Below are 11611 nucleotides of genomic sequence, written 5' to 3'. Positions count from 1 at the left end.
ACCCCTGCCCTCACTAAACTTAATAATAAATGCTGGTATATCCAGTGCATTGGCGGCATCGCGGGACCAGAATGTGGTGACCCCCCTGGACCCAGCTTTCACTATCTTGTGTGTGTCTATTATTTCTCGACCTGCCGATCTGCCTGGGAACAAAGAAAGAGCCCCGTTGCATTGCAGGCTGCTGGCCAGATCCCGCAATACTCCATGAGGGCCCCTCCCCTGTAGCAGACTTCTACTACCTGGACATCCAGGCATTTCCATACATCCTCTGAAACCTAGGTGGAGGGTCCCAAACCTCAATTCCTGACTTCTGTACACCTGGAAGCTCAACATCACATGGAAGCTGTCAAGGCTTGGGGCTTGCACCCTCTGAAGCCATGGCCCAAGCTGTGCCTTGGCCCATTTTAGTCACAATTGGAGAGGACACAGGACACCAAGTCCCTATACTGCACACAGCAGAGGGACCCTGAACCTGGCTCACAAAACCATATTTCCTCATAGATCTCCAGGCCTGTGATAGGAGGGGCTGCCGCAAAGGTCTCTGACATGCCCTGGAGATATTTCCCCCATTGTCTTGGTGATTAACATTCAGCTTCTAGTTCCTTCTGCAAAGGTAGAATGATGGATATGGTCCAATATAATCAACCTGCCACCAGGTAGCTGGCTGATCACCCCAAGGAATGGTGCCATATCGAAGGCGCAGTGTTGGTCTCTGCTGCTGGCAATTTAGACACTCAGCAGTGGCTGTAGCCAATGCCATCCTTGGTGAGTGGAAGTCCATGTTGCTGAGCCCATGCATAACCTCCATCACTGCTACCATGGCCACTTTGTTCAAGGGCCCACTGGGTGACGACAGGGGTGGCTGGGAAAAGAGGCTGAGTGGTGTCCACAGAATGGCTCATCCTATCCACTTGATTATTAAAATTGTCCTCTGCTGACGTCACCCATTGGTGAGCATGCACATGGGATACAAATATCTTCACAGTTTTTGAGCACTCAGAGAGGTCTATCCACATACTTTTTCCCCAAATTTCCTTGTCATGAATTTTCCAGTCATGCTTCTTCCAAGTCCCTGACCATCCAGCCAAACCATTGGCTACAGCCCATGAATTAGTACATAATCGCACATCTGGCCATTTCTCCTTCCATGCAAAGTGTACAACTAGGTGCACTGCTAGAGTTTCTGCCAACTGGGAAGATTTCCCTTTTCCACTGTCCTTCAGGAATGATCTAGAAAGGGGCTATAGCACTGTAGTTGTCCACTTTCAGGTGGTGTCTGCATATTGTGCAGAACCATTTGTGAACCAGGACCTAGTCTTCTATTCCTCTGTCCAATGATCATAGGGAACTTCCTATGAGGCCATCAGTGCAGGTTGGGGTGGAGAAGGCAGGGTGGCAGGAGTGGAGACCATGGGCATTTGAGCCACTTCCTCATGCACTTACTTGTGCCTTCAGGACCTGCTCGAGCCCCATCACATATATACTACTTCCATCTGATGATGGAATACTGCTGTGCATGACCCCCTTTATGGCTAGATGGGTAAGAAAACACCCAGTTCATGATAGGGAGTTCAGGTCACATGGTGACTTGATGACCTATAGTCAAAAGTTCGGTTTCCACCAAAGGCCAGTAAAAGGCCAAGCGTTGTCTCTCAAAAGGAGAGTAGTTATCTGCAGAAGACGGCAGGGCTTTGCTCTAAAATCCTAGAGGCCTCGGCTGTGATTCACCTATGGAGGCCTGAGAGAGGCTCCAAACAGCATCTCTATCTGCTACTGACACCTTAAGCACCATTGGATCTGATGGGTCATATGGCCCAAGTGGCAGAGCAGCTTGCACAGCAGTCTGGACATGTTGCAGAGCCTTCTCCTGTTGTGAACCCCACTCAAAACTGGCAGCCTTTCAGGTCACTCAATAAATAAGCAAGAGTAACACATCCAAATGAGGAACGTCTTGCCTCCAAAATCTAGACAGGCCCACTAGGCATTGTGCCTCTTTCTTGGTTGCAGGAAGGGCCAAAAGCAACAACTAATCCTTCACCTTAGAAGGAATATCTCAACAGGCCCCACACCACTGGACCCCTAGGAATTTTACTGAGGTAGAAGTTCCCTGAATTTTAGTTGGATTTACTTCCCCTCCTCTGGCACACAAATGTCTCACCAGTAAGTCCAGTGTGTTTGCTACCTCTTGCTCACTGGATCCAATCAGCATAATGTCATCAATGTAATGGACAAGTGTGATATCTTGTGGAAACAAAAAGCTATTGAGGTCTCTTTGAATAAGATTATGACACAAAGTTGGAGAGTTGATATACACCTGAGGTAGGACAGTAAAGATATGTTGCTGGAACACGTGGAAATTCAAGATGAGATTTGGGTGGGGACACAGCCAAACCATATCAACCAGCAAGAGTGTGGACCTTGTTCCTCTTCCACACCAGTATGAATGCGTGCATTCACACCCTACCATGTCACTGCTGCCAGCATGAGCACACCCTGCTACTCAACCATCAGCCACACCACCATTGCCTGTGCAAACATGTACATGGATGCCAGGAGCCCTGCCTCCCCTACTCCACCATTGCCATCAGTGCAAACACGTGCATAGAAGCCAGAAGCTCTGTGCCCACCAGTGCCCCACCCCCACACTGGCATGACTCATACAGGAATGCCATAGCCCCACTCACACCAGTACCTTACCACAGCCAATATATGTGCACCCCGCTGTGTTGTCACTGCTGCTGACACAGGCAAACAAGCATGGACCCTGCTACCACTGCCCTAATGAAGTGCTTTCGTGGGCAGCAACCAGTGTAGTGCTGTGGCCAGTAATCTGGGAAGACATCAGCACCTCCAATACAGAAGGTTCCTAACCTCAAGGAGCCAGAGAACAAAGCCAGGGGCCCAATACCAGCCCCTCAGAGTTAGAACATGTGGTCCAAGTGTTCTGAGCTAAGCCTTGGCCCCCCAAAATCTTCCAGAAATAAAGCCAGTTGACTGAATCCACCCTGTGCCAAGGACATCAAAGAAGATTAAAAAAAAAAAAAATCCGAAGGACAGCAATTTCAAAGACTAAAGGAACATCAGCCCACTGATGAGAAAGAACTGGCACAAGCACTCTGGCAAGTCAAAAAGTCAGAGTGTCTTTTTAACTCCAAATGATCACACTGGTTACCCAGCAATGGTTCTTAACCAGAATGAAATGGTTGAAATGACAGAAATAGAATTCAGAATATGGATGGGAATGAAGATTATCAGGATTCAGGAGAAAGTTGAAACCCAATCCAAGGATTCAAAGCAATACAAAAAACAATACAGGAGATGAAAAATGAAATGGCCATTTTAAGAAAGAACCAAACTGACCTACAAAAGCTGAAAAACTCCCTTCAAAAATTTCGGAATACAATCTCAAGTATTCACAGCAGAAGCGGTCAAAAAATAACTAAGTCAAATAACTAAGTCAAATAAAAACAATCAAAAAACACTAAAGCAGAATAAACAAAAGCTCTGAGACATACGGGATTATGTAAAGAGACCAAACCTACAACTCACTGGTGTCCCTGAAAGAGAGGAAGACAAAGCAAGTCAATTGGAAAACATACTTCAGGATATTATCAACGAAAATTTCCCCACCCTCACCAGAGAGGAAACCATTCAAACTCAGGAAATGCAGGGAACCTCTACAAGATACTATACTAGATGACCATCCACAAGACACATAGAGATCAGATTCTCCAAGGTCAAAATGAAAGAAAAAATGTTAAAGGCAGCTAGAGAGAAGGGGCAGGTCACCTATAAAAGGAAACCCCATCAGGTTAACAGAAGACCTCTCAACAGAAACTTTTAAGCCAGAAGTGATTGGATGCCTATATTCAGCATTACTAAAGACAATAAATTCCAACCAAGAATTTCATCTCTAGCCAAACTAAGTTTCCTAAGCAAAGGAAAAATAAGATTCTTTTCAGAAAAGCAAATACTAAGGGAATTTGTAATCACCTCCTACAAGAGGTGCTGAAGGGAGTGTTGAATATGAAAAGAAAAGATCATTACTGGGCAGCATAAAACACACATAAATAAATAGAATATTGACACTATAGGGCAATCACACAAACAAGTCTGCATAGTAACCAGCCAACAACACGATGACAGAATCATATCCACACATATCAGTATTAACCTTGAATGTACACAGGCTAAATGCCTCAATTGAAAGGCACAGAGTGGCATGTTGAATAAGGAGGCAAGACCCAACAGCACGCTGTCTGCAAGAAACTTATCTTATGTGCAATGACAACCATAGGCTTAAAGTAAAGGGATGGAAAAAAATCTGCCCAGCAAATGATAAACAGAAAAACGCAGAAGTTGCTAATCTAATTTCAGACAAAACAGACTTTTAACCAATGGAAATCAAAAAAGACAAATAAGGGCATTATGTAATGGTAAATACTTCAATTCAACAAGAAGACCTAACTATCCTAAAAATATATGCACACAACACAATAGCATCCAGATACACAAAGCAAGTTCTTAGAGACCTACAAAAGGACTTAGATAATCACACAATAACAATAGGATACTTCAACACTCAACTGACTGTATTACACGTATCACAGAGGCAGAAAACTAACAAAAATATTTGGCACCTGAGCTCAACAGTGGACCAAACAGACCTAATAGACATCTACAGAACTTTCCACCCCAAAACAACAGAATATATATTTACCTCATCTGCATATGGCACGTACTCTAAAACCAACCACACAATGAGCCATAAAGCAATCCTTAGAAAATTAAAAAAACTGAAATCATACTAAACACACTCTCAGACCACAGCACGATAAGATAGAAATCAATTTCTACTTTTGAAACTATGAAAATGGCTCAAAACCATACAATTTCATAGAAATTAAACAATGTGCTCCTGAATGACTTTTGGGTAAAAAATAGGCAGAAATCAAGAAATTCTTTGAAACTAATGTGAACAAAGACACAACATACCAAAATCTCTTGGACACAGCTAAATCACTATTAAGAGGAAAGTTTATAATGCTAAACGCCTACATCAAAAAATTAGAAACTTCTAAAATTAACAACCTAACTATCACACCTAGAGAAACTAGAAAAAAAACAAGCAAACCAACCTCAAAGCCAGCAGAAGACATGAAATAATTAAATCAGAGTTGAAATACAGAAAATTGAGATGCATAAAAGATCAACAAAACTAAAAATATATTTCTTGAAAGAACAAATTAGATAGCTAGACCTGTATCTAGACTAACAAAGAAAAAAGAGGAAATATCCAAATTAACACAATCAGAAATGACAAAGGGGATGTTACCATTGACTTCACAGAAATACAAAAACCCTCAGAGACTACTACAAATACTTCTATGTACACAAGCTAGAAAACCTAGAAGAAATGGGTAAATTCCTGAAAGCATACAATCTTCTAAGAATGAAAGAGAAATTGAGTCCTTCAACAGACTAATGAAAAGTCCCCAAATTGAATTATTAATAAAAAGCCTCCCAACCAGAAAAAGCCAGGACCAGACAAATATAGAGCCAAATTCTACCAGATGCATAAAGAAGAGCTGGTACCATTCCCATTGAAATTACTCCAAAAAATTGAGGTGGAGGGACTCTTTATTAACCTATTCTGTGAGGGCAGCATTATTCTGATTTTAAAACCTGGCCAAGACAAAACAACGGCAAAAAACTTCAGGACAATATCCTTAATGAACATAGATGCAAAAATCTTCAATGAAGTACTAGAAAATCAAATGCACCAGCTCATCAAAAAGCTAATTCACGATGATCAAGTATGCTTTATCCTTGGCTAAAAGGTTGGTTCAATACATGCAAATCAATAAATGTGATTCATCACATAAACAGAACTAAAAACAAAACCACATGGTCATGTCAATAGGTGCAGCAAAGGCTTTTGATAAAATTCAACATCGCTTCATGTTAAAACCCTTGTATTATTCTGTTTTGTTTTGTTTTGTTTTGTTTGTTTGTTTGTTTTTTGCACTGTTATAAAGAAATACCTGAAACTGAGTGATTTATAAAGAAAAGAAGTTTAATTGGCTCACGGTTCCATGGACAGTACCAGAAACATGGCTGGGAGGCCTTAGGAAACTTACAATCGTGCTGGAAGGTGAAGGCGAAACAGGCACATCTTACGTGGTCAGAGCAGAAGAAATAGAGAGAGAAGGAAGATGCTATACATTTTTATACAACTAAATCTTGTGAGAACTCTATCATGAGAAAAGCACCAAAGGAGGAAATATACCCCTATGATTCAATCACCTCCCACCCGGTCCCACCTCCAACACTGGGGATTACAATTCAATATGAGATTTAGGTGAGGATACAAATCCAAATCTTACCAATGCTCAAAAAACTAGGCATTGAAAGAACATACTTCAAAATAACTGCTCATCTATAACAAACCCATCGTCAACATCATACTGAATGGGCAAAAGTTAGAATTATTCCCCCAGAAAAGCAGCACAAAACAAGGATGCCTCTCTCACCACTCCTATTCAATATATTATTGGAAGTCCAAGCCAGAGTACCCAGGCAAGAGAAAGAAATAAAAAGCATCAAATAGGATGAGAGGAAGTCAAACTATCTTTGTAGATGATTGGATTCCATACCAAGAAAACCCCTTAGTCTCTGCCCAAACATACCTTGATCTGAAAAACAACTTCAGCAAAGTTTAAGGGTGAAAAATTATTGTACAAAAATGAGTAACATTTCTACCCCAATAACATCCAAGCTGAGAGCCAAATCAAGCAATCCCATTCAAAATAGCCACAAGAATAAAACACCTAGAAGTATAACCAACCAGAAGGGTGACACATCTCTACAATAAGATTTAAAAAGCACTATTCAAATAAATTAGAGATGACACAAATGAAAAAAAAATTCATGTTCATGAATAGGAAGAATCAATATCATTAAAATTTCCATACTGCCCAAAGCAATTTAGAGATTCAGTGCTATTCCTATCAAACTACCAATGATATTCTTCAAAAATTTAGAGAAAACTATTTTAAAATTCACATAGACCGAAAAGAGAGATTCAAAAGCCAAGTCAATCCTAAGCAATTAGAGCAAAGCTGGAGGCAGTCACATTACTCGACTTCAAACTTTGCTACATGGCTACAGTAACCAAAACAGCATGGTATTGGTACAAAAATAAATACATAGACCAATAGAACAGAATACAGAACCTAGAAATAATCCTGCACACATGCAACCATCTGCTCTTTGACAAAGTCAACAAAAACAAGCAATGAGGACAAAGGACTCCCTATTCAATAAATGGTGCTGGGATAACTGGCTAACCATATGCAGGAGATCGAAAATGGACCCCTAGATTAAAGACTTAAATGTAAAACCCAAAACTATAAAAATCCTTGAAGTCAACCTAGGAAATACCATTCTGTGCATAAGACCTGGCAGAGATTTTATGACCACGACACAATAAGCAATTGCAACAAAACCAAAAATTGACAAATTGGACCCAATTAAACTAAAATTCTTCTGCACAGCAAAAGAAACTATCAACAGAGTAAACAGACAATCTCCAAATGGGAGAAAATATTTGCAAATTATTTATCTGACAAAGGTCTTATATCCAGAATCCATAAGGAATTTAAACAAAGCAATAAGCAAAAAACAAACAGCACCATTAAAAAATGGGCAAAGGTCATGAATAGGTATTTCTCAAAAGAAGACAAACACGCGGCCAACAAGCATATGAAAAAATGCTCAACATAACTGATCATTAGAGAAATGCAAATCAAAACCATAATGAGATACCATCTTACATCAGTCAGAATGGTTATTATTAAAAAGACAAAAAATAATGATTCTAGCAAGGGTGCAGAGGTGAGAATGTAAATTAGTTAAGCAACTGTGGCAAACAGTTCGATGATTTCTCAAATACTTTAAAATAAAACTACCGTTTGACCCAGCAATCCCATTATTGGGTATATCCCCTACGGAATATAAATCATTCCACCATAAAGACACATGCACACATATGTGCATCAATCACAGTACTATTCACGATAGCAAAAACATGGAATCAACCTAGATTCTCATCAATATGTAGACTGAATAAAGAAAATGTGGTACATATGTACCATGGAATACTATGCAATCATTAAAAAAAAACCATAAAAGGGATCCTGTCCTTTGCAGCAACATAGATGGAGCTGGAGGCCATTATCCTGAGTGAACTAACACAGGAACAGAAAACCAAATACTGCATGTTTTCACTTATAAATGTGAGCTAAATATTGACTAGACATGGACACAAAGAAGGGAATAACACACACCAGGGCCTACTTGAGGGTGAAGAATGGGAGGAAGGTAAGAATCAAAAAATTACCTGTTGGGGACTATACTTATGTATTAATTTGTTCTCACGCTGCTAATAAAGACATACCCAGGACTGGGTAAATTATAAAGGAAAGAGGTTTAATTGACTCACAGTTCCACATGGCTGAGGAGGACTCACAATCATGGCAGAAAATGAAGGGAAAGCAAGACAGGTCTTACCTGGCAGCAGGCAAGAGAGACCTTGTGCAGGGGAACTCCCATTTAAAAAACCATCAGATCTCGTGGGACATATTCACTACCACTAGAACAGTATGAGGGAAACCACCCCCATGATTCAATTATCTCCACCAGGCCCTGCCCTTGACACGTGGGGATTATTACAATTCAAGGTGAGATTTGAGTGGGGGATACAGCCAAACCATATCAGCTTATTACCTGGGTGAGGTGATAATCTGTACAACAAACCCCCATGACATACAATTTACCTATATAACAAACCTGCACATATATCACTGAACCTAAAATAAAGGTTAAAGAAAAAGAAGTCCACAAAAAAATTTCATTAAAACGAATATAAAATGGTCAAACAAAATTTAACTGAGGTGGGCAGATCATGAGGTCAGGAGATTGAGACCATCCTGGCTAACACGGTGAAACCCCGTCTCTACTAAAAATACAAAAAATTAGCCGGGCATGGTGGCGGGCGCCTGTAGTCCCAGCTACTCGGGAGGCTGAGGCAGGAGAATGGCGTGAACCCGGGAGGCGGAGCTTGCAGTGAGCCGAGACCACACCACTGCACTCCAGCCTGGGCAACAGAGCGAGACTCCGTTTCAAAAAAAAAAGAAAAAAAGTGAAATGTAAATGGTGTAAAATAAAGTGAAATAACTATATATTTGAAAACATGGTTGTAAGAAAACAAATTAGACATTCAAGTATTGAAACATCAATAGGCCAGGTTATGTGCCTTAAGTCTGTAATTCCAGCACTTTGGGAAGCCAAGGCAGGAGATCACTTGAGGTCAGGAGTTTGAGATTAGCCTGGCCAACATAGCAAAAACCAGTCTCTACTAAAAATAAAAAAAATTAGCAGGGCGCAGTGGCGCATGCCTGCAATCCCAGCTACTGGGGTGGCTGAGGCAGGAGAATCACTTGAACCCGGGAGGCAGAGGTTGCAGTAAGCCAAGACTGAGATTATGCCACTGCGCTCCAGCCTGGGCAACAGAGCGAGACTCCATCTCAAAACAAAAACAAATATTAAAACATCCAATTAATAGAGTAAATCTTAGAAGATTTTATATTAAATAAAACTTGCCTTAGTGTGAAACCAAATCTGAAAATTATTTTAAAATAATAAATTCAATTACATACTTCAACTACGTTTTCTACAAAGAAAACCCGAAATTAAAATCAGAGATAATAAAAAACAAGGAAAACTATTTGTGGTTTATGTCATTAAAGAAATAGTTAAATTACTTAGGAAAACCCCTTCAATAAGTAAAAGTATACAAACAACTCAGAAACATAAGCAATGGATGACTAGAGTTCATAGAAAAAAAAAGGGATCATTTCTAAACACAGGAAAATATTATTAATCCCAATCATTAAAAAAAGCAAACTAGAAGCTACATTGAGATACCATATTTTGCCTATGAGATAAGAGAAAAAAGATTTAGCAACACTGTTTTACTGAGCACTTGAGGAAAGAGTCCCTCTTATATTACTGGTGTGAGTGTAATTTTTATAACTCTATGGAAACAAACTTAACACAGTAAAAATTTAATGTGTATACTCTGCCCCCAAAATTCCACTTTGAGAAATGCATACTTCTGATAAACTCATGAATAAGAAAATGAAAGATATCAAGGTAAGTTCATTGAAGCATAATTTTAATGACAAAAGAAGAGCAATAATCTAAATGTCTTTTAATAGGGAATTGGTTAAATAAATAAAGGTGACATTTTTATTGGAAGTCTATGTTGTCTTTAAAAATAGCTGACAGAGAACTACATGTACTCACGGGGGTGATCTCAAAAATGTATTGTTTAGCATCTTCTTTGAAAAGCCAAGTTTAAGACAAGAAATTGTGTGTGTACATGTGTATTCATGCACAAACATAGATATATTTATTTATATACATACATATAGATGCATGGATATATGTATAAATACAATACTTATATCTATAAACTATCCTCTGAACTTTGGGGAAACTGGATAACTAATGGATTCAGGCCTGGACCTAACTGGATGGCTTAAGTCATCTCAAGTCATATCTCCAGCCAATGTTTCCAAGCTTGGATGCTGTTTACATTGTTCAACACCTTCCTGGTTATTTAGCTAACGGAAAAGAGAAGGATGGCTGAGGAACGAATGGCAGGAATGTAAAGATTAGTCCACAATTTCAGTTTGGAATGACTAATACCACAACTTCACTGCGCTCAACAACCCTTGTGTTGACACATGAGTTTGGATCCATTGTGTTTAGTAAAACAGCATGTGCCCAAACTGTAAGTGCTTACTTAGTGAGGAAGGCAAAAGAGTGGCCAATGGTTCTTAAAAATAAAAAATAAGTCGAGAGGAAGGATTTTAGAAAGTACAGGTAAATCTATAAATGCCCAGAATATGAAGCTTAGTAGTATTTAGTCCACACAGGAAGAAACTCAAGTCTTTTCTTGATTTACAAACAACAAAATGAATTCAGAATCTGGTGACAGATATAAAAAGCCTCAACTTAAAAGAAATTTAACAAGTTAAAGTAGTAATCACTGTGGGACAGGAAACATAGTATTTATCTTTGTTGCTTATCTGATGAAAATGCCACAGTCACTTTTGGCTATGACTTGGCTAATAGATCTGAATATTTAAGTGGCTTGTGAGCTTTCTCAAAGTCAAAATCGACATTTCTCTTTTTTTCTAGTTTAACATCTTGTCCTTAAGTCCTTAAGCTGAGCTTCTACTCCATAGCCATGTTCGAAGGTGCTCTGGGCAAGGAGCTGGCCCTTCCAGACCTTTTAATAGAAGGCCTTGACTGGAAGAAGACTGGCAGCAATTCAGCATTTCCACCTTTTATTTTCTGAGGGAGTGTAGATAAGGGAGCTATCAGCCTGGGCAGTAGGCTGCAGCAGCAGATCTGATTGAAGCAGAGATTTCAGTAAATTAAGAATTTGTTATCACTTAGAACAGGCTGTCCTCCTTTCAAGGAATGTGGGCAATGGCACAAGTTGATTGAAAGGCCTTCTTGTTCCAATAATACTGAATAT

The sequence above is a fragment of the Homo sapiens genome, chromosome 3 (genome assembly GCF_000001405.40).
Source record: "Homo sapiens chromosome 3, GRCh38.p14 Primary Assembly".
NCBI classification, from domain to species: domain Eukaryota; kingdom Metazoa; phylum Chordata; class Mammalia; order Primates; family Hominidae; genus Homo; species Homo sapiens.
This window is presented reverse-complemented; position numbering follows the sequence as displayed.